This window comes from Homo sapiens, chromosome 5 (genome assembly GCF_000001405.40).
Source record: "Homo sapiens chromosome 5, GRCh38.p14 Primary Assembly".
In the NCBI taxonomy this organism is placed as follows: domain Eukaryota; kingdom Metazoa; phylum Chordata; class Mammalia; order Primates; family Hominidae; genus Homo; species Homo sapiens.
In genome coordinates, this window is record NC_000005.10 from 45,291,626 (window position 1) to 45,319,574 (window position 27,949).

At 35.9% G+C, this 27,949-nt stretch overlaps 1 protein-coding gene across 1 annotated transcript in view; it reads right to left on the reverse strand.

Annotated features, from left to right (window-relative positions):
* HCN1 (hyperpolarization activated cyclic nucleotide gated potassium channel 1) overlaps nucleotides 1–27,949 on the reverse strand; it is a 441,433-nt gene that overhangs the window by 36,678 nt on the left and 376,806 nt on the right. Inside the window, exon 6 of the mRNA NM_021072.4 lies at nucleotides 11,974–12,214. Coding sequence (NP_066550.2) covers nucleotides 11,974–12,214 — 241 coding nt within the window. The remainder of the gene's footprint in view (nucleotides 1–11,973; nucleotides 12,215–27,949) is intronic.

Genomic DNA, 27,949 nt, shown 5'->3' on the forward strand with positions numbered 1-27,949 from the left:
CCTCCATCTCCTCAAGGGATCCTCCCACTTCAGGCCCCCCAAGTAGTTGTATGTGCTACCACATCCAGCTACTTTCTGATTTTTTGTAGAGACAGGGTCTCACTATGTTGCTCAGGCTTGTCTTGAACTCCTGGGATCAAGTGATCCTTTAGCCTTTGTACCCCAAAGTGCCGGGAATACAGGCACAAGCCACCACATCCAGTGCTGTCCCTTTTCATTAAGCTTTCTGCCCAAAATATTCTTTTATTAACTTGCTTTATTATTTTTTATGGCATCAAATATTATTTGAAATTATTTTATGTATACATTTGTTTATTGTTTATTTTATGTCCTTTCAATAGTGCATAATATCCATGAATGCTAGAATTTTATTTTATTCACTATTGCATGACACAAATTTAGAATACTATGTGGAATACAGTGTATTTTCAATATCCATTTGTTGAAGAAAAAAAAGGAAAGAAGAAAGGAATGTAATTTATTTGCCCCATTCCTGAAATAAATGAACACTCTTAGGGATATATTGGGCTTAACATGGAATAACAATTTTCATTTATACCATTCTAGATACAATTTCCTTGCAAATCTCCATTATCTTAATCTTACAATTGATAACTATTTTGTACAATATGCTGGGCACTAGTCAAATATGGCTATTAACATTTAATTCAATTTAAAATGATTATAATAAATAAAACCAAATACCCAGTTCCTCAGTCACACTAGCCACATTTTAAATGCTCAACTGCTATATATTGACAGTGGCTAGCTTTTTTAACCGTGTTAAATTTACAACATTTTCATCACAACAGAAAGTTCTGCTAGACATCATTCCTACAGATTCTATTGTTTTAGATTCTAGGACTATATTATCTGATCCCTAATAAAGTGAGATTAATTTGAAATTAGAAAACAATTTAAAAGGCATAAACTCTGAATTTCTCAGAAATCATCTGGTATGTTTCATTAAGTTTAGATTGTACTTTATCATTATCATATGTATAAATTTCCTATCTTCAAATAAAGAATGAGACTAACAAAATAATATTATTCTCAAAGAATGAGAATAATATTAAAGTGAATGGGATGCTTCACTACTTTTCTAAGTTTAGAGCTGGTGACAAAGAAGAAGAAATAAAGATTAAGAGCAGTGACAAAGAAAATATATCTATCCATTCATCCATCATTCTTCTACCCATCTACTCATTCTTTATAAATGTTCTTACTGAGTGTTGTTCACACACTGTGCTCTGGTTTTACATGTTTAAATTTGAAGAAATCATAGTGTTTAAACTCAGACAATTGATAAAGTAATATTTTAAATTTACATATGAAATAATAATTGAAATAATTCAATAATAGGCTAAATGCTATGAAAGCATAAAGAGAAAATCAGTTTACCTAACACCAGCACAAAGAGATGAAAACACATTTGAATGTATGTGTCTTTATAACAGAACAATTTACATTCCTTTGAGTATATACCCAGTAATGGGATTGCTGGGTTAAACGGTATTTCTGTCTTTAGGTCTTTGAGGAATTACAACACTGTCTTCCACAGTGATTGAACTACCATACACTGACATCAACAGTGTAAAACTGTTCCTTCTTCTCCACAACCTCACCAGTATCTATAATTTTTTGATATTTTAATAATAGCCATTCTGACTGGTTTGAGATGTTATCTCATTGTGGTTTTGATTTGCCTTTCTTTAATGATCAGTGATATTAGCCAGGCATGGTGGTATACACCTGTAGTCCCAGCTACTTGTGAGGCTTAGGCGGGAAGATCACTTAAGCCTAGAAGGTCAAGGCTGAGGTGAGCCTGGGTGACAGAGCAAGACATGGTCTACAAAAACAAAACAAAACAAAACAAAACAAAACAAAGCAAAAACCTCTTTAAATGTGGTCCTTTGTGAACTAGCACAGGAATATAGGAGGACCCAGGATTGTAATATGAACTTTTTAGGTTTCTCCTTCTTCCCCTCCTTCTCTTTTTCTATTTTATTAAAAAGAGAAAGACATTTTGACTTCAAAATAAAATGTCTTCTTAATGTTCATCCTAATTTTCCTAAGTATGTCAGATATTTGGCATTGATTCATTTATAAATGACTTTATAAAGACACAGAACTCTGAGGTGAGGATAAAGTGACTAGCATCTCTCTCACACAATGAGTTAGCAAAGCTTCAGCTTGTGATTGTGTATTATTTGACATTTCTAAGTCAGCCAAGACCTGACAAGAAAAGAAAAGATCTGACAGAGTTGTCTTACCAGCATGGACAAAATTACTTCATTTACCCTCACCTAAGAGGATAACGAATGAGGAAGGAAAAGAAAAATTAAAAAAAACTCCATAAGGAGATTAATCGTTCTTTCCTACGGCTGCCTCTTCTTCCTGCTCCTCATAAATGTAATAGAAAAAATTGAGCTAATCAAATTGTTAATTTGATTAACTATCAACAGTTTCCTTATGCCTTCTAGAAAACCAGCATGAGGTTAAACAAATATAATATAGAAGTAGAGTAAATTGCCAACTGCAGATTGGCAGATGTTTCAGTCCTCTTAGAGTTAACGAATAGTCACGGTGACCATGATTGCCTGTGGTTTTTTCGAATCGGTGTCTCTAAATTTAAAAATGTCAAATAATCATTATCTGCCCAAATGTATTTTGGTCATAAAAATCCTAAATACATACATTAACTCTGTAAAGTATCTGCCAGTCCCTTCACAGCTTGCGAAATGTCCATTATTAAAGCAGCATTTAACAACAGTCATGAAAAATATTTCCTTTCTCATGGGTTTGTTTCACATTATCATTCCATAAAAAGAACTTATGGGACAGACATTTTGAAAGAAAGAAAGTTAAGAGACTGAATCAATTAGAACACTTTGGCGTGGAAAGATAAATGATTGTTAAGAGGTGAATGAGTAAAGGAGATATTAATAATAATCAAATAAATTATATTAGAAAAACAAACTTTTCTTTAAAATCAAAGTATTGGTACAAAGGTATATTATTTGACATTTTAATATGGTTTGTTAATGGCATTTTACTTAGTGGATAATATATTTACAGTATGATTACCTTAATAGCATGGTCATATAAAACATATGAATAGATTACAAAACAGTTTAGTGAATTCCATGGAAATTAAATAAAAGGGCCATGGATAGATTTGAAGTGATATATTGGAGAATAATCATGCCCCTCTTAAGAGGCAGTGAGGTATTCTGGAAAGAACACAGGCTTCAAGTTCAGAAACAAACTGAGTTTGAAACCTGGGTTTCTCCCTTCTCAAGTCCATGGCCTTGGCCAGCTTGTTTAACTGCTTTGAGACTCATTTTCCTCATATTTAAAAGAGGATGATGAGATTATAAAATCTAACTCAAAGGAGGAGTTAAGCAGGAGTCCAGACACTCCTTTTGCTACAATCAAAACCATCACTCCTTGAGCACCCCAACACTCACCACAACCCCAACACTCACTCACCACCCAACTGGCCTAAGCTATGTAGACAAATCTCCTTAAGCTCTTTATGCCCATTCACCATCACTCTCAATGGGAAGCCTAGAACTCCCAGGTAATCCACATGCCTGGATTCTAACTCCAATATGGTTGTCACCTTTTTGTAACGTGGCTTAATATTTTTAGTAATTTCCAGGTTTCTTTATTAAATTCTTCTTTATAAAATATAACCACCCACTAAAATATAAGTTCCATAAGTATGAGTGGCATGGTACTTTTTGCTCACTGCTCTATCCCCAGGCCTTATGAATGTGTCTCACACTTATATTTGGTTCATTTCCTCATACTCTTTCTGCTACAACACTACGTAAGACCTCTGCTAAGAAGACTGGATGAGGTGGTGCATGAGTCACATGCCTCACCAAAAAGTAAAACAAAATATCTGAAGTTAAAAAATTATACTGATCTAGAAACATACTCCTGCATTATTGTAGATATAAATCAAGTTATGCACAGAATTCAAAACTTTTGAGTTTGATCTTTCTTTAAATAAGTCTCCTTAGCTTACTATTCTGCCCTCCATTTTGTTGGGGTTTAATGTTTGGTGAACTGATTATGTTTATTTAGTTAGATATATTAGAAGAGTGAAAAGAGCATTCCTCAGCTAATGTCTGGTTCTTCTGCTTAACAATACTATGAACTTGTCATGCTCAACTTATACAAATACAAAACTAGTATAGTATAAAATTTGGTGTTATTGATGTCAAGATTTCATATTAGATAATGAAATAGGCAGGGATTGTATAATATGTATAGCTTATTAAATAAGTACATGTTATTAGATTTTAACTGCCTTACATTATCTTCTTTGATGTCTAAAACTGCATGTTGATATTCAAAGTAATGTAAACTTATTTTTTCTGTAAACTGCCCATAAAAGGCTTGTGCTTCTGGTACCCTTGAGGTCCACCAGTAGCCACCCCATGTCATCATAGTGAAAATATGAATGAGATTAAAAGCTCTGAATGGAAACAAAATAGTATTTTACATACTTTCTTACTCAAGTGAGTTGGGTTAAACAAATAACAATGGAAGAATATTATTTTTCTCATTTTTACATGGAACATTTATCAAGAGTTAGGGCTATAAAACACACCTCAGCAAATAGAAAATAATGAGAATCATACAAGGTAAAATTTCAGATCACAATGAACTAAACTAGAAACCAACAATAGAAAGACAGATAGAAAATCCCTATATATTTATCACACTGAAAAACCATATGGGACAAGGAAAAAGTCTCAGATAATATTAAAAAAATGAAAGAAAATTAAAATATGACACCAAATTTGTATGAGGCAGAAAATGAAGTTCTTAGAGAGGAATTTATACTACATAGTATTAGATAAATATATTAGAATAGAAGAAAGATTGAAAAATCAGTATTCTAAGCTTCCATCTTAGCAAAATAGACTAAAGAAAGCAATTTAAGCTCAAAGCACAACGACTAAGAATACCATAAAAATTATGATAGAAATCAATAAAAATGAAAACAGGAAACAATGAAATGCAACTGTAGCTCTTGGAAAATATATTTTTTAAGATTCTCTAGGAAGACTGACCAAGAAAAAAGAACGTAAACATTATCAACATCAAAAATGAAAGAGGGGTCATCACTATTGATCCTGGGGACCCTAAAAGAGAATGATTCAAGCAAACTACAGAGAACTCAGTGTCCATAAATTTAATTTAGATGCAGTGGAGCAATTCCTGGAAAGTACAAACTAATAAAATTCACATAATGAGAACTATCTAACCTAAATAACTTTATATCCACAAGGAAATTGGATCAATTTGCTGAGACCAGCTCGGTCAGGGAAACCCTAACCCAGTGGAGCTAGAAGAATTAAAGACACACACACAGAAATATAGAGGTGTGATGTGGGAAATCAGAGGTCTCACAGCCTTCAGAGCTGAGAGCCCCAAACAGAGATTTACCCACATATTTATTAACAGCAAACCTGTCATTAGCATTGTTTCTATAGATATTAAATTAACTAAAAGTATCTCTTATGGGAAACGAAGAGATGGGCTGAATTAAAGGAATACGTTGGGCTAGTTAACTGCAGCAGGGACACACCCTTAAGACACAGATCGCTCATGCTATTGTTTGTGGCTTAAGAATGCCTTTAGGCGGTTTCCACCCTGGGCGGGCCAGGTGTTCCTTGTCCTCATTCCCATAAACCCACACACTTCCAGCTTGGGCATTAGGGCCATTATGAACATGTTACAGTGCTGCAGAGATTTCGTTTATGGCCAATTTTGGGGCCAGTTTATGGCCAGATTTTGGGGGGCTTGCTCCCAACATCAATTATTCTATGATCTTGCAAAAAATAAATCACCAGGCCCAAAAGTTGTCACCAGTAAATTCTACCAAATATTTAAGGAATAAATGATATCAATTCTCCACCATCTTTTCCAGAAAATGGAAGCAGAAGGAGCACTTTCAAATCCATTCTATGAAGTGAGAATCAGCCTCATACAAAAATCAGAAAGCACATTACATGAATAAAAATGCATAGAATAATATATCTCATAAAGATAGAGACAAAATCATGACCAAAATATTAGCAAATCCAATCCAATACATTTTCACATTTTGATGCAATAAAAGTTATTTTAGGCATGCAAGGCTGGTTCAACATTTAAAATTAAAATCAATCAAAACAATTCACCACATTGACAGACTAGAGAAGAAAAAACATAGGATCACAGACTTGGCATAGAAAAACATACATTTGACAATATCCAACACTCATTCATGATTAAAGAAAAACTTTTAGAAAAGCTGTAATGAAGGATAACTTTCTCAATATGATTAAGAACATCTGAAAAAAAAACTGTTCAATTAGCATCATACTTAATGGTGATAGGTGGATGCTTTCTCCCAAAATCAAGATTAGGGGAAAGATGTTGCTATGGTTTGAATATGTGTCACCTTCAAAACTCCTTGAAATTTAATACCCAATATGGCAGTACTGAGAGGTGAAGACTTTATGAGTTGACTGGCTCATGAGGGCTCTGCCTTTATGAACTGATTTATCCATTCATGGATTAATTGGTTGATGTATAAATGATTTATAATCGGAGAGAACTGGTAGCTTTATAAACAGAGAAAGAAGAACTTGGTCTTCCACATGAGCATGTTCAGCTCCCTCACCATGTGATACCCTGCACCACCTCAGGGCTTTCCAGATCTTTATTTCAATTACCATTCTCCAATTACAGAATCCAAGCCTCCTTGAAGAAATGAATAATTTTAGACTGATAGGAACTATTCAAGATGAGCCAGGAGCATATTGTGGTAACAGGAAATAAGAAAAAATTTACCCACAATAATGAGGACAAAGGGACAGAGGGGCTAATTGGAAGAGATCCCAATAGCCAAAGATGAAACAATCTGAGCAACAGAATTAATAAAGTAGTACTGGATTATAACCCAAATTATAAAATAAATATATCCAAGTGTCCATACTGATACAAAAAGGATTGTATAAATCAATAAATAATGAAAGAGAATAGGTAAATTTCCTGTTCAGGATGATTTCAAATTATTTATGTCATACGTGGCCTTTAAGGAAGTGGAACAATACTCCCCGCTCCTTACTTGTGGGCTGTGCATGGTGACTACCTTCCAAAGAGTACAGTATGGAATGGGAGGGAAAGAAAAATTAACTTTACAATGGAGATGTCTGACAAACCCTAACTCAAGTTAGATGATTAAGGTCAACATCAACAGCAATAAGATATATTCATAGCATGCACTCTCAATATGATGTGATGAGAATGGTACTTTAAGTCTCGTTTTTCTTCCCAAAACAATTACTCCGATCTAATCTTGAGAAAAGCATCAGACAAATCCCAATTGAGGGACGTTCTACAAGATACCTTAACCAGTGCTCCTTAAAACTGTCAAATTAATCAAGAAGAAGGAAATTCCAAGAAACTTTAATGATTAAAAGTAGCCAAAGAAGACATTACTACTGAATGTCAGGTGGTATTATGTATCAGATTCTGAACAGAAAAAGGACATTGGGTAAAGACTGGAAAAATCTCAATGAAAAATGCACTTTATTAAGTACTTTAACAGTTGGTTCATTAGTTTTGACCAACATACCATAGCAATGAAAGATGTTTACATTGGAATTATCTGTATGATCTTTGCAATAATTATGTAAATATAAAGCCCCTGTAATAAAAAGGAAGTAAAAGTTTAACCGTAAAAAGGGAACCATATATCTACATCAATATCTTCATCTCTCGCTCTCTGTCTCTATAACTATTTTTAATTTAAAAATTATTTTGAATCATCTGGGGATTTTTTTCAACATACTGGTGATTGGATTTCAACTCCACTCAATTATATGAGAAAATATAGTGTAGGTTTTTGGCATTGGCATCAAATTTTTTTAAAGCTTTCCAGGAGATAGTAATGTGTACTCAGTATTATGAACAATTGAATTAGATGAACTGAATGATTACTCCTAAAGAAATAGAAAACCTGAGTATTTTAATAACCACAAAATACAGGGAATCAAACACAAGTGGCTTTATTTGTGAAGCCTAACAAATATTCAAATAACAGGTAATGCCTAGATTGTTTAAACTTCTCTAAAACAGCGAATACTTTTTGAAAAAGTTTTATTATTCTTTCTAAGAAGTGAGCATAACCTGATATCCAAAGTCATCTAGGGGATCACAAAAATGACTCCAATAACAACAACATTATAGACCAATCTCACTCATGGACAGAGATGACACACTATGTTAAAGAAATATTACATCAAGAAAAAATAGTTTTTATCTCAGAAATGATCTTATGGTTTAACACAAGGATATTCAGTGATGTGATTCACTGTACTAATAGTTTAACCCACATAAGTCCAGGGAGGAACATATTCCAGTCTTTGTATAAAACCTTAGTCATATTACCAAATTAACTGTAAGGTATTTAAAACCTCCTCTGAATTCACAAAACATATGTCGACTTCACAAATCCCATCTTTGTGCATAATAACACTTCAAAAAATTCTTTTTAAATGTTTCTTCTACATATTCATCAAATCTCCAGAAACTGACTCAAAGACTTTTCCTCCTACAAATTTATCCCCAAACCTGGCCTATACATATACAGTTCACTACTTAACACAGGTTTGAGCTAGGCAAGCCCATTTATAGGTGGATTTTCTTCTGCCTCTGCCACCCAAGATAGTAAAAGTAACCCCTTCTCTTCCTTCTCCTCTTCATCCTACTCAACATAAAAATGATGAGGATGAAGACCTTGATGATGATCCATTTATTATGATGATCTATTTATTATGATGAATAGTAAATATATTTTCTCTTCCTTATTAATTTTTAAATATTTTATATTCTTTAGCTAACTTAATTGTAAGAATACAGTATCTAATATATACAGCATACAAAATATGTTTTAATCAACTATTTGTATTATTGTTAAGGCTTCCAGCCAACAGTAGGCTACTATTGTCAAGATTCTGCAGAGTCAAAAATTATATGCAGATTTTTGACAGAGCAGGGGTTGGTACCCCTAATCTCCACATTGTTCAAGATCAACTGTATACTTTCATTTCTTATCCCATCTAACTTCAATACTCTCTTTCTTTTTCCCCTTCATTCAAACATTAATTCTCTGCACTTTCTAAAGCAGGCCCTGTTAGATTCATAGCTTTTCCTAATCTGCTTTTTTCTTAGAATAACCCATACAAAAGGCTAAGGGGCCAATGAGACAACACAGAATCATTTTAACAAGAAAGAATAGTGGAAGAAATGGAAAGCTTCAAAATGGAACTTCAAAATTTTCCTTAATTGGTGAGCAGGAAGTTAAAGAAGTTAATTAATTTGAGTTAATATGTTTCACTCAGCCATAATAGATTAATGGGTTATAACCTCATGGTTATTTTGATAAAGTTAAAAAAATTCACTTACCAAAATTCAAATATTTCCTAATAAATATATCTTAGCTGTAAATGAGGAACATTTCTTAAAGTCAGCATATTATTAAGGAATCATTTCAAAAGTTAGCAGAAAGGATGAAATCCTTCATTAATTATTTTGGAAAAATTGTCTCTTTGGGGTAAAAAAGGGGGATAATATAGAATATTTCATATTATACTCACAAATATACTTTGGTTGGGTTAATACTAAAAAATGTATTTAGAATATGTATAATAATAAAATATAATAAATTATAATAACAGAGTAGTCATGATAAAATGTAGTAAAACTAAATAAAATAGATAAAAATGTGAAAAGCAATTCCAGTCAGGTGCGGTGGCTCATTCCAGAAATTCCAGAAATTTGGGAAGTCAAGGGAGGAGGATTGTTTGAGCCCAGGAGTTAGAGACCAGCCTGGGCAAATGGTGACATCCCGTCTCTACAAAAAATTAAAAAATAGGAAAGCAGGGCATGGGGACACATGCCTGTGGTCCCAGCTACTAGGGAGGCTGAGGTGGGAGAATCACTTGAGCCTGCAGAGCAAGGTTGCAGTGAGCCATAATCATGCCAGTGCACTTCAGCCTAGGTGACAGAGAGATACCCTGTCATTTAAAAAAAAAAAAAAAAAAGAAAGAAAAGCATTTCCATTATTTCCCAGTGTGTAAAACCCGCTTACAGAACATAAAATCTTTAATGCCCTAAGAAAAAATAGGCAGATTTAAATCAACAATAATGAGGATCAAAATAATGACAGATATTGTAAATGCAATTAAGAAACAAGCAACAAATTAGGAGAAAATAGTTGCATCATATAAAATATATATCTGGAACATTCCTATAAATTAGATTTACGAAGGCAAACAACAGAGTAGAAAAATGTGCAAAGAATAGGAACAAAAAAATAAATCCAAGCAATTAGTAACTCTAAGAAGAAATTTCTCAGCCTCCCAGAAATAACAAAAATGCAAACAGAAATACAAATAATTAGGGTATGTCCTTTTGTTTATTAACAAGATAATATGGTTTGGCTCTATGTCCCCCCAACAAATTTCATCTCAAATTGTAATCACCATGTGTTAAGGGCGGTGGGACGTGGATCATGGTAATGGGTGCCCCCATGTTGTTCTCATGGTGGTGAGGGAGTTCTCAGGAGTTCTGATGGTTTAAGTTTCCCCTGTGCTTTCTCTCTCCTGCTGCCTGTGAAGAAGTTGCTTGTCTCTCCTTCACCTTCTGCTGTGATTGTAAGTTTCCTGAGGCCTTCCCAGCTATGTGGAACTGTGAGATAATTAAGTCTCTATTCTTTATAAATTACACGGTCTCAGGTATTTACAGTAGTGTGAAAATGGACTAATACACAAGACAAAACTAAAACTGAATTGGCAAAGCAAACAGGCAGCCTTATCAAAGAAGCAATTTGGTGTTATTTGCCTAAGTCTAAAAATAAGATCAAATAGTCTTTGACCCAGTAAATCAATTTCTAGGCATTTTTTGTACATGTGTAGAAACATATATATATATTTTATATATATAATTTTAATAAAAATTGGAGATAAATATGGTTTGGCTGTGTCCCCATTCAAATCTCAACTTGAATTGTACCTCCCAGAATTCCCACATTTATGGGAGGGACCCAGGGGGAGGTAATTGAATCATGGGGGCTGGTCTTTCCCATGCTATTCTTATGATAGGGAATAAGTCTCACAAGATCTGATGGGTTCATCAGGGGTTTCTGCTTTTGCTTTTTCCTCATTATCTCTTGCTGCCATCATGTAAGAAGTACCTTTTGCCTTCTGCCATGATTCTGAGGCCTCCCCAGCCATATAGAACTCTAAGTCCAATTAAACCTCTTTTTTTCCCAGTTTCAGGTATGTCTTTATCATCAGTGTGAAAATGAACTAATATAGAAACAATACAAATTTCTGTAAATTTTTAGCAAGGTAAATTGCCATCTAACTACAGGCTACATTTTGCAGCCTTCCTTAGGCCTGAAGGTGATCCTATACCAATTCTGGGCAATCATATGTGAATAGCAATGATTTTTGCAATTTCTGGGCAGTAGGAATATCAAACAGAAGCTGTTAGTTTTTCATTTCTTCTATTATTTCTGCCCCATTATATGGGCCGTATCAAAACATGGTGGAGAGGAATCAGCTCCTCTTGTGGAGATGACAAAAACGAAACAAAACATGTTAGTGGATGGATGGAATCTAGGTCACCAAATTATACTTTCCATTTGACTTAAGCCCCTATTATTTGGTTCCAGATAAAGAGGTTGAAATAATATCTCAACCAATGTAGTAGTAAATGCACACACATTGAGCCTGTGACTCTGAAATATGAAAACACTGTTATAGACACTTTTATCAGAATTCACATACAGGTTTACATTCAAAACCAAAAAACTGACATGCTGACATCTCCAAAATTCTTAAAGATACAAATCTCAAGCAGTTTAGATTTCATCTTAGTTGCATCTTTTTTACTAACCTCCAAAGTAAGAGCCATCTGTCAGCTTCATTTCTTTACTGGATTTTGTAATGACACCAGCAACACCGTGTTGAATGAAATACATTTTTTTACCCACGGCTCCTTCTCGTATGATATAATCTCCAGGTTGAAACACCTCAAATCTCAACTTGCTCAGCATGGCAGTCACAAAATTAGGATCCGCATTAGCAAATAAAGGCATTGTAGCCACCAGTTTCCGACAGTTGAAGTTGACTATCTCCTAAAGATGTCAAGAGTAAACAAATATTAAGAGAGATATTAATCATATCTGGAAGAAAAACATGCTGAAATTTAAAATATATACAGCATAACATTGTAATTTAAATTTAGATACAAAAATTCATAAATTCTAGTAATGCGCATCATATTACAGTCAGGATTATGTTTTATTTTTATGTTGAAATTTTTGTATTCCCAGCACCTAGTGTAGTATAGGAATGTATTAAATATTCGATAAATGTTAATTCAATATATGAAAGTCTCAACTTTTTTAACTTCCCATTTCTTTACTACTGTGTATATGAAACTAAAACTTCTAAAATGTGAATACATTCTATTCTTCCTTTTATCTTTTATTTACGAAGAAAGAAAGCCATATCACTTCCTATTAGCTATGCCATTCCTGCTTCTGTGCTCCTTTTTGTCTGGGCCCAGCTACCAGACAAAAACATTTTGATGTTTTTTTTTTTTGTTAGTGTCATTCACATTAGAGTGAGGACAATGGATAGTACAGAAAAAGGTTACACAAAGGAAACTCTAATCTAAAAGTATAAATTCATCAGGTGCAGTGGCTCATGGCTGTAATTCCAGCACTTTGGGAGGCCAAGGCGGGTGGATCACGAGGTCAGGAGTTCAAGACCAGCCTGGTCAAGATAGTGAAACCCTGTCTCTACTAAAAATACAAAAATTAGCTGGGTGTGCTGGTGGGTGCCTGTAATCCCAGCTACTCGGGAGGCTGAGGCAGAGAATTGCTTGAACCCAGGAGGCGGAGATTGCAGTGAGCCAAGATCATACCACTGCACTCCATCTTGGACAACACAGTGAGACTCTGTCTCAAAAAGATTAAAAAAATAAAATTATAAATTCAACTGGTGTCTGGGCTAGAATCAGAAATCATTCTTTCTAAAGACTCCTGGGATTCCCCTGCAAGTGATGGGCTAGAGAGAGGACATATTTGCCTTTTCCTGACTTGTTTGTTTTATTCCAGGATCAGGCCAATTCTCAAATAGGAGATCTGTATGTTTGATTTCATTCTGTGGATTCTGATCAAGGTTAGACATATTTTTATCCCTCTGGATGAAAATAGAAATATGGAACCAAACATTTTTAATCATGCAAATCACTTATGTGACACAGAAGAGACAGTGGAAATTTACATTTTTGCCACAAAGCCAATTCTCAGAAATTTCCTTACCAATTAGTTACCCCAAAAAAGGTTGGGACTGCATTTGTGATTTTGTGTAAGAGTCACAGAAATTGGTCATGTCTGCTAAGAGGTGAAAAGAAGGCAGAAGGAATCATAGGTATTAACAGAGTCTGAGAACTCTATCTTCTGCCTTGGGGAAATGTGCTATACCGACCCATCAATTCCAAGACTGAGAAAGAAGGTTTCTATGATCTTACTTCATAAAATAACCTAATGCCATCCAGGATAGATAAAGAATTCCAGGTGATAACAGAAGGCACAACATTTTGAATCTATCTTGGAAGAGAAGGTGTTTCATCCTGAACAATATTTTATGAGTTTAGCAAAGCACAACAATGTCTGTAATAGTGGAGCTTCATGGAAGATGAGAAAATATTTACAAATAAGCAACAATAATCAGAAAGTGAACCTAGCAGCAAAGACAAGAGAAAGATATTACATGTGGTACTTGGTGCATCATTATTCAAATCAAAATACACACTTGAGTCCACGATTGGCTGTATCTAGGGAAATTTGTGATAATTTTAGCTGATGCATGGAGTGTGGGTCTATAACAATGTTCAGCAAGTAGTAAGTACTGAATCAATATGCATGCATATAAAGGAAGCCATTCGAAGGAAGAAATGAAGGAGGGGAGGAAGGAAAGAAAGAAGGGAGGAAGGGAGGGAGCAGGTGGGAAGGAAAGAAGGAAGGGATAAAAGAAGAAACAGAAGAAGGGAGGGAGGAAGAAAGGAAGGAAGGAAGGAAGGAGGGAAAGAAGGAATGAAGGAAGCAAGGAAAGAAGGAAAGGAGGGAGGGAGGAAGGAAGGAAGGGAAGGAGGGAGGGAGGAAGGAAGGAAGGAAGGTGGAGTCTCAGTTGTAAAAAAGTACTCATAAAGACTAATTTTCTCGTTGGGAGATGGTTACTTAAAACTCTTAGCTTTCTCAAGCAAATGGCTTGAGAGACAAGTCTTCTGTATTAAAAAATTTGTTTTTACTATTTCAAATATTTCTATACAAAAACAACAGGAAGATAAAAGGTGACGTGGAGTTAAAAGAAGACAGAGTTATGTCATGAAAATAGCTAGATGAGTTGATTGAGAGTTAATTATTTCACATGTAAAATGACAGAATAATACTGTGTAGGAAATTGAAAATAAGTCAGATTGTAGAGAAAATAAGAGTTTTCATATAAAAATAATAGAGAATCCCTTCATCTTTGTACCTTGATTTGAACTATGCAAATGTTTCACTTCATGGATCTCTCATTTTTTATTTTAGAAAATAGTTGGAATTATATTTGATAAGCAATTAACCTGATCTTTAGTCATATGAATAACTTGTTAATGATACATTGCATATCCAGGTGTTTCTGTTAGAACTCCCTTTATTATAACACTACTGGAATAATTTCATATTATTGTTTGAAGAAATCTATTAATGTTTTCTTCCTTCATGCAACTTTTACTTCCCAGGAGTATTACCTGATTAAAACTGTAAATTCTAACAGATATGATAGAAAAAATGGTAATGAGACAGAATCTTCTTGGATTCTAAAAACCTTTCATTCTCCCATGAAAACTGCTTGTTCTGAGGATGTCTAGTATAGTAGAAACAATCATGTAAGTATAGAATGAAGCAAAACTTTAAAAAAATATTTTTAATCAATCACCTTTCCTTAGGGCACATTGAGGCAAATAAAACACACTGTTACTATCTCTAATGTCAATTCAAATTACTTATGGCACTTGTTATAATTAGCTCTTTTTATCAAAATATCAGGATTGAGTTAGGAGTATTATCTATGTGCATTAAATTGAGGAAAGGTTGCTTGCTAAGGAAGGCAAACACATGGTCCTGACCTTAGTAATAAGTTGCTCCAGATTATTAAGTTTATGTTGGCACTTTAAAAAATGCAATTATTTCTTTCCTGGAACATTTTGTAGTACAAGAAAGTATGTACATGGTAAAAACAAATGAAAAAACAAACAGAAAGACCAATCCCCAAAATGAAACAGAACAAGAACCCCACAGTAATGAAGGTATTTCAAAGGGACACAGGGGCCAACTGAAAGAGTTACCAACGGTCAAACAAAGCTGGAAAAACTTGAGTAACAACAATAAAAAGTATTGGATTAAACCCAAAGTATAAAATAAATAACCAAGATCACATACAAATCTAAATGATTGGTTAAACTACTAAAAAGTGAGGGATAATACATAAGCTTTCTGTTTAAATTCCAAATAATTTCAAATAATTCATATAAGCACTCCTGCCTCAAAAAGTTGGAGAATAATTACCAAACCCTTAAGGATGGGCTGAGCATTGAGCATGGGGACTTCCTTCAAAGAATACAATAAGGAAAAGAGGGGAAAAGTAGTAACTTTCCAATAGAGAAACATGAAAAACTCCACCTCAAGTCAGGCAATCAATGTTAACATCAACAGTGCTAAATCATGTTGGTAGCATGTACTCTTGGTTTGATGTAATCAGAAGAGCATTTTACTTTTGTGGCATTCCTACACCAAACCCATAATCCCATTTTAATCATGACAAAACCATCAGCAAACCCAAATTCAGGAAAGTTCTGCAAAATATTTGGCCAGTTCTAAAGATGATCAAGGTAATCAAAAACAAGGAAATTTGGAAGAAACTGTCCCAGACAAGGGGAGACTAAGGAGACATGACAAGTGACCATAATGTGGTATCCTGGATGGGATCCTAGGATAGAAAAAGAACTTTAAAGAAAACTAAGGGAATCTGAGTAATGTTCGGACTTAATAATAATGTATCAATATTGAGTCATAACTGTAGTTATTACAAATGTAGCATACTAATGTAAGGTATTAAAAACGGGGGAAATTGGATGTGATGTACATGGGAATTCTCCATACTATTTCTGAAACTTTTTTGCTGATATAGTTTGGATGCTTGGCACTTCATGTCTCATGCTGGAATTTGACCCAATGTTGGAGGTGGTGCATGGGAGGAGGTGTTTCAGTCATGGGGGAGAAGAACCCACATGAATGATTTGGTGCTGTCCTTGAGTTAATGAGTGAGTTCTCACTCTATTAGTTTTCATGAGATCTGATTGCTAAAAGGTGTCTGGCACCTACTTTCTCTCTCATGTCCTCTCTCATCATGTGACATGCAGGCTCCCCTTCCCCTTCCACCATGATTGAATATTTCCTGAGGTCCTCACTAGAAACAGATGCTGGTGCCATGCATCTTGTACAGGCTGCTGAATCGTGAGACAAATAAATTTCTTTATAAATAACTCAGTCTCAGGTATTCCTTTATAGCAATGAAAAATGAATTAAGAAATCTGCAAATATAAAATTATTCTGAAAAAGCTTATTAAAGATGTAATTACTGCTCTTCATAGTTAAGAAAATAAATATGATTTTGTCATAGCATGTAAAGCATATTTTCTTTAAGTTAACTCTTTTAAAAGTTACTTTTAAAAAGATCTCCTAGTAAATGCTTGAAAACAATTATATCATAGTACAGTCTGGGGTTAAGCAGCAGGCCTGGAATGTGTCTGTTTATATTGTTGTGGAGTTAATAACTGTGGTCTGTCATAAGAAGACAAATTGTATATATATCATGCATTTTCAATTTCAGATATATGTTTCTATCAAGTTTTTATTTACAAATAAAAATCTATAATTATTTCTGTATTCTGTTCCATTGTTCTATGAGTCTGTTCTTGTACCAGTACCATGCTGTTTTGGTTACTGTAGCCCTGCAGTAGAGTTTGAAGTTGTGTAGCATGATGCCTCCAGCTTTGTTCTTTTTTCTTAGGATTGTCTTGGCTATTTGGGCTAGTTTTTGGTTCCATATGAATTTTAAAACAGTTTTTTCTAGTTCTGTGAAGAATGTCAGCGGTAGTTTAATGGGAATAGCATTGAATCTATAAATTGCTTTGGGCAGTATGGCCATTTTAACAATATTGATTCTTCTTATCCATGAGTATGGAATGTTTTTCCATTTGTTTGTATCATCTCTGATTTCTTTGAGTAGTGGTTTGTACTATCCTTTTAGAGATCCTTCACTTTTCTTGTCAGCTGTATTCCTAGTTATTTGATTCCTTTTGTGGCAATTGTGAATGGAATGTCTTCTGAGATTTATCCCTCAGCTTGACTGTTGTTGGTGTACAGGAATGCTGACACAATTTTTGTACATTGATTTTGTATCCTGAGACTTTACTGAAGTTGCTTATCAGCTGAGGAAGCTTTAGGCTGTCATAATGGGGTTTTCTAGACATGGGATCCTGTCATTCGCAAACAGGGATAGCTTGACTTCCTCTTTTCTTATTTGGATGCCCTTTATTTACTTCTCTTTCCTAATTGCTATGGCCAGAACTTCCAATACTATGTTGAATAAGAGTGGTGAGAGAAGATACCCTAGTCTGGTGCTGGTTTTAAAAGGGAATACTTCAGCTTTTGCCTATTCAGTATGATGTTAGCCGTGGGTTTGTCATATATGGCTCTTATTATTTTGAGGTATGTTCCTTCAATACCTAATTTATTAACAGTTTTGAACATGAAGTGATGTTGAATTTTATCAAAAGCCTTTCCTGCATCTATTGAGATAATCATGAGGTTTTGTCTTTAGTTCTGTTTATGTGATGAATCACATTTATTGATTTGTGTATGTTGAACCGACCTTACATCCAGGGGATGAAGCCTACTTGAGTTTTGGTGGATAAGCTTTTTGATGTGCTGCTGGATTCTGTTTGCCAGCATTTTGTTGAGGATATTTGCATCAATGTTCATCAAGGATATTGGGCTGAAGTTTTCTTTTTTTGTTGTTTCTTTGCCAGGTTTGGTATCAGGATGATGCTTCCCTCATAGAATAAGTTAGGGAGGACTCCCTCCTTTTCGACTTTTTGGAAAATTTTCAGTAGGAATGCTACTGGCTCTTCTTTGTATATCTGGTAGAATTCAGCTGTGAATCCATCTGGTCTTGGGCTTTTTTTGGTTGGTAGGCTATTTATTACTGCCTCAAGACTAAATGTAAAACCTAAAACTATAAAAACCCTGGAAGATAACCAATACCATTCAGGACATAAACACGAGCAAAGATTTTATAATGAAGACCCCAAAAGCAACTGCAACAAATCAGAAATTGACAAACGGGAACTAATTAAACTAAAGAGCTTCTACACACCAAAATAAACTATCAACAGAGTAAACAGACAACCTGTGGAATGGCAGAAAATTTTGTAAACTGTGTATCTGACAAATGCCTAATATCCAGCATCTATAGTAACTTAAACAAATTTACAAAAAAAAATACAAACAACCCCATTAAAAAGTGGGCAAAGGACATGAACAGACACTTCTCAAAAGAAGACATACATGTGGCCAACAAGCATATGATAAAGAGATCAACATCACTGATCATTAAAGACATGTAAATCAAAACCACAATGATATACCATCTCACATCAGTCACAATGGTTATTATTAAAAAGTCAAAAAATAACAGATGCTGGTGATGTTGTGGATAAAAAGGAACGTTTATACACCCTTGATGGGAGCATAAATTAGTTCAGACATTGTGGAAGACAGTGTAGTGATTCCTTAAAGACCTAGAGACAGAAATACCATTCAACCCAGCAATCCCATTACCAGGTATAAACCCAAAGGAATATAAATTGTTCTATTATAAAGACATGCATGCATATGTTCATTGCAGCACAATTCAAAAGAGTAAAGACATGGAATCAACCCAAATGCTCATCAATGAATGACTGGATAAAGAACATGTGGTAAATATATAGCATGGAATACTATGCAGCCATAAAAAAGAATGAGATCATGTCTTTTGCAGGGACATGGATGGAACTGGAGGCTATCATCCCTAGCAAATTAATTCAGGAATAGAAAACCAAAAGCCTCATGTTCTCACTTACAAGTGGTTGCTAACTGATGAGAACACATGGACATACAGAGAGGAACAACACATACTGGGGCCTATCGGAGGGTGGAAGGAGGGATAGAACCAAGAAAAGTAGCTAATGGATACTAGGTTTAATGCCTGAGTGATGAAATAATCTGTACAACAAACCCCCATTATCTCCATGTTCATCTATTTAACAAACGTGCACATCCTGCACATGCACCCTTGAACTTAAAATGAAAGTTAAAAAATCTATAATTATTTCAAAGTTAGAAATATATATTCATTTATTAAACACACCAAAAGTGAGGGAGAAACAAAAATGTTGTTCCAAAGAAATTCTCTCTCCAAGGAATATTATTACATAATTTATATAGCATCAATATGGTTTTTATTTTAAAAGATCTCAAGTTGCCCACTAGCAAAAGGGTGGATTTCAAATGTTACTATTTAAAATACACTGGTTCAATTTCTTCTTACTTTTGCAATCAGCTTATATTAGAAAATTTGTTTAAACATCTTAGAAGGGAATTGATAATTTTTGCTAATATTTTATTTTGTTAAAATAAGTCATAAGAAATATTTGGCATAAACACCCATGCAGAAATGACATAATTTTTAAGTTAAATGATATTAAGTTCTCTGGAGTGGACTTGTTGCTTTAGTGTTGATAATTATGGCATAAGTGTTATGATCCATGGAGGATATGTTGCCCATAAAAGGAACAGTTCGATATAAAAGTGTTGACTGAAGAAATGCCAAGAATGTGATTTCAGTAATATTCTTTGCATAAGGTTTCTCATTGAAAATGCATGAGACCTGCAGCTTTATTTATTCCTCTGAGGAAAACTTCAGACAGAGCAGTAATTGCAGAGGAAGAGTACACTGGTCGCCTTGGAACCTGGAGGGAATTTTCACCCTCAAAGTTCATCAACAGCTTTCTCAAATTTCTAGCTGTGGGCTAAACACTGGGAAGCCAAGTAAATAAGCTCAGATGCTATGGGAAATGCTGCAAACTATTTCCTCAAATATTTCAAGTAAGAAAAAATCTTTGTTGTCAAGAAGAGTCCACGTTGGAACCCAAGGTGTACATATATTTGTATTCATTAAGAAGGTGTCTTAAAAGATGACATGAGATAGAAATGTTTATGTCAGATGTTTCTGGGATCCACCTTTCAACCAAATGGAATGGTTGTTTCAGTCTTCTAAAACATTCAAGCACACACTTGGGTGAAGATTTTTCTTATGCAATGCCCTCTTGAGGATGCTTCTCATTTGGCAAACGGTAACCCTGCTAAAGGGTAGTGCTAAGATTTTAAATTGAATTTTATATATTATATACAAGAATGAAACAGCATAATACAAGAATGAAACAGCAATAAAGAATCTTGTTATTTGTTCTTTGGTTGACACGATGTCTATTTATTTTAGATATAAAAGTATTTGCTGGGGGCGGTTCCAAGATGGCCAAAGAGGAACGGCTCCAGTCTACAGCTCCCAGTGTGAGCGACGCAGAAGACGGATGATTTCTGCATTTCCAACTGAGGTACCGGGTTCATCTCACTAGCACTTGTCAGACAGTGGGTGCAGGACAGTGGGTGCAGCCCACTGAGCATGAACTGAAGCAGGGCGAGGCATAGCCTCACCCGGCAAGTGCAAGGAGTCAGGGAATTCCCTTTCCTAGCCAAGGGAAGCTGTGACAGACAGCACCTGGAAAATCGGGTCACTCCCACCCTAATACTGCACTTTTCCAATGGTCTTAGCAAACGGCACACCAGGAGATTATATCCCGCACCTGGCTCAGGGGGTCCCACGCCCACAGAGCCTTGCTCATTGCTAGCACAGCAGTCTGAGATAGAATCGCAAGGTGGCAGTGAGGCTGGGGGAGGGGCGCCCACCATTGCTGAGGCTTGAGTAGGTAAACAAAGCAGCCTGGAGGCTCGACCTGCATGGAGCCCCTCGCAGCTCAAGGAGGCCTGCCTGCCTCTGTAGACTCCACCTCTGGGGGCAGGGCATAGCTGAACAAAAGGCAGCAGAAACCTCTGCAGACTTAAATGTCCCTGTCTGACAGCTTTGAAGACAGTAGTGGTTCTCCCAGCATGGAGTTTGAGATCTGAGAACAGACAGACTGCCTCCTCAAGTGGGTCCTTGACCCCCAAGTAGCCCAATTGGGAGGCACCCCCCAGTAGGGGCAGACTGACACCTCACACGGCAGAGTACCCCTCTGAGATGAAGCTTCCAGAGGAATGATCAGGCAGCAACATTTGCTGTTCACCAATATTCGATGTTCTGCAGCCTTCATTGCTGATACCCAGGCAAACAGGGTCTGGAGTGAACCTCCAGCAAACTCCAACAGACATGCAGCTGAGGGTCCTGACTGTTAGAAGGAAAACTAACAAACAGAAAGGACATTCACACCAAAACCCCATCTGTACGTCACCATCATCAAAGACCAAAGGTAGATAAAACCACAAAGGTGGGGAAAAAAACAGAGCAGAAAAGCTAAAAATTCTAAAAATCAGAGCACCTCTCCTCCTCCAAAGGAATGCAGCTCCTCGCCAGCACCAGAACAAAGCTGGATGGAGAATGACTTCGATGAGTTGAGAGAAGAAGGCTTCAGACGATAAAACTTCTCCAAGCTAAAGGAGGAAGTGCAAATCCACCGCAAAGAAGCTAAAAACCTTGAAGAAATATTAGACGAATGGCTAACTAGAACAACCAGTGTAGAGAAGTCCTTAAATGACCTGATGGAGCTGAAAACCATGGCACGAGAACTAAGGGACGAATGCACAAGCTTCAGTAGCCAATTCGATCAACTGGAAGAAAGGGTATCTGTGACTGAAGATCAAATTAATGAAATGAAGTGAGAAGAGAAGTTTAGAGAAAGAAAAGTAAAAAGAAATGAACAAAGCCTCCAAGAAATATGGGACTATGTGAAAAGACCAAATCTACATCTGATTGGTGTACCTGAAAGTGACGGAGAGAATACAACCAAGTTGGAAAACACTCTGCAGGATATTATCCAGGAGAACTTCCCCAACCTAGCAAGGCAGGCCAACATTCAAATTCAGGAAATACAGAGAATGCCACAAAGATACGAGAAGAGCAACTCCAAGACAAATAATTGTCAGATTCACCAAAGTTGAAATGAAGGAAAAAAATGGTAAGGGCAGCCAGAGAGAAAGGTCGGGTTACCCACAAAGAGAAGCCCACCAGACTAACAGCGAATCTCTCGGCAGAAACTCTACAAGCCAGAAGACAGTGAAGGCCCATATTCAACATTCTTAAAGAAAGAATTTTCAACCCAGAATTTCATATCCAGCCAAACTAAGCTTCATAAGTGAAGGAGAAATAAAATACTTTACAGACAAGCAAATGCTGAGAGATTATGTCACCACCAGGCCTGCCCTACAAGAGATCCTGAAAGAAGCACTAAACATGGAAAGGAACGACCGGTACCAGCCATTGCAAAAACATGCCACATTGTAAAGACCGTCAAGGCTAGGAAGAAACTGCATCAACTAATGAGCAAAATAACCAGCTAACATCATAATGACAGGACGAAATTCACATATAACAATATTAACCTTAAATGTAAATGGGCTAAATGCTCCAATTAAAAGACACAGACTGGCAAATTGGATAAAAAGTCAAGACCCATCAGTGTGCTATATTCAGGACCCATTAATGTGCTGTGTTCCATTCAAGACCCATCAGTGTGCTGTATTCAGGAGACCCATCTCACATGCAGAGACACACAGGCTCAAAATAAAGGGATAGAGGAAGATCTACCAAGCAAATAGAAAACAAAAAAAGGCAGGAGTTGCAATCCTAGTCTCTGATAAAACAGACTTTAAACCAACAAAGATCAAAAGAGACAAAGAAGGCCATTACATAATGGTAAAGGGATCAATTCAACAAGAAGAGCTAACTATCCTAAATATATATGCACCCAATACAGGAGCATCCAGATTCATAAAGCAAGTCCTTAGAGACCTACAAAGAGACCTAGACTCCCAAACAATAATAATGGGAGACTTTAACATCCCACTGTCAACATTAGACAGATCAACGAGACAGAAAGTTAACCATGATATCCAGGAATTGAACTCAGCTCTGCACCAAGCGGACCTAATAGACATCTACAGAACTCTCCAACCCAAATCAACAGAATATACATTCTTCTCAGCACCACATCACACTTATTCCAAAATTGACAACATAGTTGGAAGTAAAGCTCTCCTCAGCAAATGTAAAAGAACAGAAATTATAACAAACTGTCTCTCGGACCACAGTGCAATCAAACTAGAACTCAGGATTAAGAAACTCATTCAAAACCGCTCAACTACATGGAAATGGAACAACCTGCTCCTGAATGACTACTGGGTACACAGCGAAATGAAGGCAGAAATAAAGATGTCCTTTAAAACCAATGAGAACAAAGACACAACATGCCAAAACCTCTGGGACACATTTAAAGCAGTGTGTAGAGGGAAATTTATAGCACTAAATGCCCACAAGAGAAAGCAGGAAAGTTCTAAAATTGACACCCTAACATCACAATTAAAAGAACTAGAAAAGCAAGAGCAAACACATTCAAAAGCTAGCAGAAGGCAAGAAATAACTAAGATCAGAGCAGAACTGAAGGAGATAGAGACACAAAAAACCCTTCAGAAAAACCATGAATCCAGGAGCTGGTTTTTGAAAAGATCAAGAAAATTGATAGAGCACTAGCAAGACTGATAAAGAAGAAAAGAGAGAAGAATGAAATAGACACAATAAAAAATGGTAAAGGGGATATCACCACCGATCCCACAGAAATACAGACTACCATCAGAGAATACTATAAACACCTCTATGCAAATAAACTAGAAAATGTAGAAGAAATGGATAAATTCCTGGACACATACACCCTCCCAAGAATAAACCAGGAGGAAGCTGAATCCCTGAATAGACCAATAACAGGCTCTGAAGTTGAGGCAATAATTAATAGCTTACCAACCAAAAAAAGTACAGGACCAGATGGATTCCACAACTGAATTCTACCAGAGGTAGAAGGAGGAGCTGGTACCATTCCTTCTGAAACTATTCCAATCAATAGATAAAGAGGGAATCCTACCTAACTCATTTTATGAGGCCAGCATCATCCTGATACCAAAGTCTGGCAGAGACACAACAAAAAGAGAATTTTAGACCAATATCCCTGATGAACATCGATGCAAAAATCTTCAATAAAATACTGGCAAACCGAATGCAGCAGCACATCTAAAAGGTTATCCACCATGATCAAGTGGGCTTCATCCCTGGGATGCAAGGCTGGTTCAACATATGCAAATCAATAAATGTAATCCAGAATATAAACAGAACCAAAGGCAAAAATCACATGATTATCTCAATAGATGCAGAAAAGGCCTTTGACAAAATTCAACACCCCTTCATGCTAAAAACTCTCAATAAATTAAGTACTGATGGGACGTATTTCAAAATAATAAGAGCTACTTAAGACAAACCCACAGTCAATATCATACTGAATGGGCAAAAACTGGAAGCATTCCCTTTGAAAACTGGCACAAGACAGGGATGCCCTCTCTCACCACTCCTATTCAACATAGTGTTGGAAGTTCTGGCCAGGGCAATCAGGCAGGAGAAAGAAATAAAGGGTATTCAATTACAAAAAGAGGAAGTCAAATTGTCCCTGTTGGTAGATGACATGACTGTATATTTAGAAAAACCCATCGTCTCAGCCCAAAATCTTCTTAAGCTGATAAGCAACTTCAGCAAAGTCTCAGGATGCAAAATCAATGTGCAAAAATCACAAGCATTCTTATACACCAATAACAGACAAACAGAGAGCCAAATCATGAGTGAACTCCCATTCACAATTGCTTCAAAGAGAATAAAATACCTAGGAATCCAATTTACAAGGGCTGTGAAGGACCTCTTCAAGGAGAATTAAAAACCACTGCTCAACGAAATAAAAGAGGATACAAACAAATGGAAGAACATTCCATGCTCATGGATAGGAAGAATCAATATTGTGTAAATGGCCATACTGCCCAAGGTAACTTATTGATTCAATGCCATCCCCATCAAGCTACCAATGACTTTCTTCAAAAAATTGGGAAAAAAACTACTTTAAAGTTCATATGGGGCCAAAAAAGAGCCTGCATTGCCAAGTCAAGCCTAAGCCGAAAGAACAAAGCTGGAGGCATCACGTTACCTGACTTCAAACTACACTACAAAGCTACAGTAACCAAAACAGCATGATACTGGCACCAAAACAGAGATATAGACCAATGGAACAGAACAGAGCCCTCAGAAATAATACCACACATCTACAACCATCTGATCTTTGACAAACTTGACAAAAACAAGAATTGGGGAAAGGATTCCCTATTTAATAAACGGTGCTAGGAAAACTGGCTAGTCATATGTAGAAAGCTGAAACTGGATCCCTTCCTTACACCTTATACAAAAATTATAAGATAGACTAAAGACTTAAATGTTAGACCTAAAACCATAAAAACCCTAGAAGAAGACCTAGGCAATACCATTCAGGATATAGGAATGGGCAAGGACTTCATGACTAAAACACCAAAAGCAATGGCAACAAAAGCCACAATTGACAAATGGGATCTAATTAAACTAAAGAGCTTCTGCACAGCAAAAGAAACTACCATCAGAGTGAACAGGCAACCTACAGAATGGGAGAAAATTTTTGCAACCTACTCATCTGACAAAGGGCTAATATCCAGAATCTACAAAGAGCTCAAACAAATTTACAAGAAAAAAACAAACAACCCCATCAAAAAGTGGGCGAAGGATATGAACAGACACTTCTCAAAAGAAGACATTTATGCAGCCAACAGACACATGAAAAAATGCTCATCATCACTGGCCATCAGAGAAATGCAAATCAAAACCACAATGAGATACCATCTCACACCACTTAGAATGGCGATCATTAAAAAGTCAGGAAACAACAGGTGCTGGAGAGTATGTGGAGAAATAGGAACACTTTTACACTGTTGGTGGGACTGTAAACTAGTTCAACCATTGTGGAAGACAGTGTGGTGATTCCTCAAGCATCTAGAATTAGAAATAACATTTGAGCCAGCCATCCCATTATTGGGTATATACTCAAAGGATTATAAATCATGCAGCTATAAAAACACACGCACACTTATGTTTATTGTGTCACTATTCACAATAGCAAAGACTTGGAAACAACCCAAACGTCCATCAATGATAGACTGGATTAAGAAAATGTGGCACATATACACCATGGAATACTATGCAGCCATAAAAAAGATGAATTCATGTCCTTTGTAGGGACATGGATGAAGCTGGAAACCATCTTTCTTAGAAAACTATCGCAAGGACAAAAAAACAAACACCACATGTTCTCACTCATAGGTGGGAATTGAACAATGAGAATACTTGGTCACAGAAAGGGGAACATCACACACCAGGGCCTGTCGTGGGGTGGGGGAGGGAGGAAGGATAGCATTGGAAGATATACCTAATGTAAATGATGAGTTAATGGGTGCAGCACACCAACATGGCACATGTATACATATGTAACAAACCTGCACGTTGTGCACATGTACCCTAGAACTTGTATAATAAAAAGAAAAAATATTATTTAATAAAATAAAAAGAAAAGTATAATAAAAAAAGAAAAAAAAAGTATTTGCTTACAGCAGTCCTTCCCATTATTTTGCTAAAATATGACAGGATTATTCATGTTCATTATTTAGTCACAGTGTAGGGAGTTTCTTTTAAAGTTACAACATAACTTGAAGTGGACAAATCCTAAGTGTACACAAATTTTAAGTCATTTTTTAAAAAATATATATGCACCCGTATAACCAGCCGGATTCAAATATAGACAATTTCTCAGAAGGCTCCTTTTGCCTCATCTTAGTCAACCCAGAGGTTCTAGCTATTCTGATTTCTATCACTACAGAGCAGGTCTTCTTGTTCTTGAAAGTCACATAAATGAGGTTGCATACTGTGTAGTCTTTTGTGTCTTGGTTCTTTTACTCACCATTCTGTTAATGTGATTGCTAAGTGTTGTAAGTGGGAGTTGATTCTTTTTAAATTTCAGGCTATATTTCATTTTATGGTTATACTACAATTTATTTATCCATTCTACTCTTCATGACATTTGGGTTGTTACCAGTTTTAGGCTAATAAAATAAATGTCAGCTAAAAATTAAAAGCTGGGAGGAACATTCTTGAAGCATCTTATGCACTGATTTGGCTTGAGTGTACACCATATATTGGAATTTCTGGGTAATAGAATAAGCACATACTTCACTACAGTTGCTGCCAAAAGTTTTCCTGGATGCTTCTATTATTATTCTCTCATTCCATCAACAGGTGATGTTTCAGTTGTCCCACATCTTTGGCAAAATTTGATTTTATCATTTAGCCATTGGTGGGTAAGTCGACATATCTGACTGTTTTGCTTTTTGCACTTGTGTTTTTTCTTATTGTAGTTTTAATATGCATTTTCCCATGAGTATCCTCATTATGCACATTTTCCTAAGCTTTTTGATCAGATGAATAGCCTGTTTTGTGAGGTGCCCAGTAAAGAGTTTCCCCCTTTTTCTATGTTAAGAGTTCTTCTTATACTC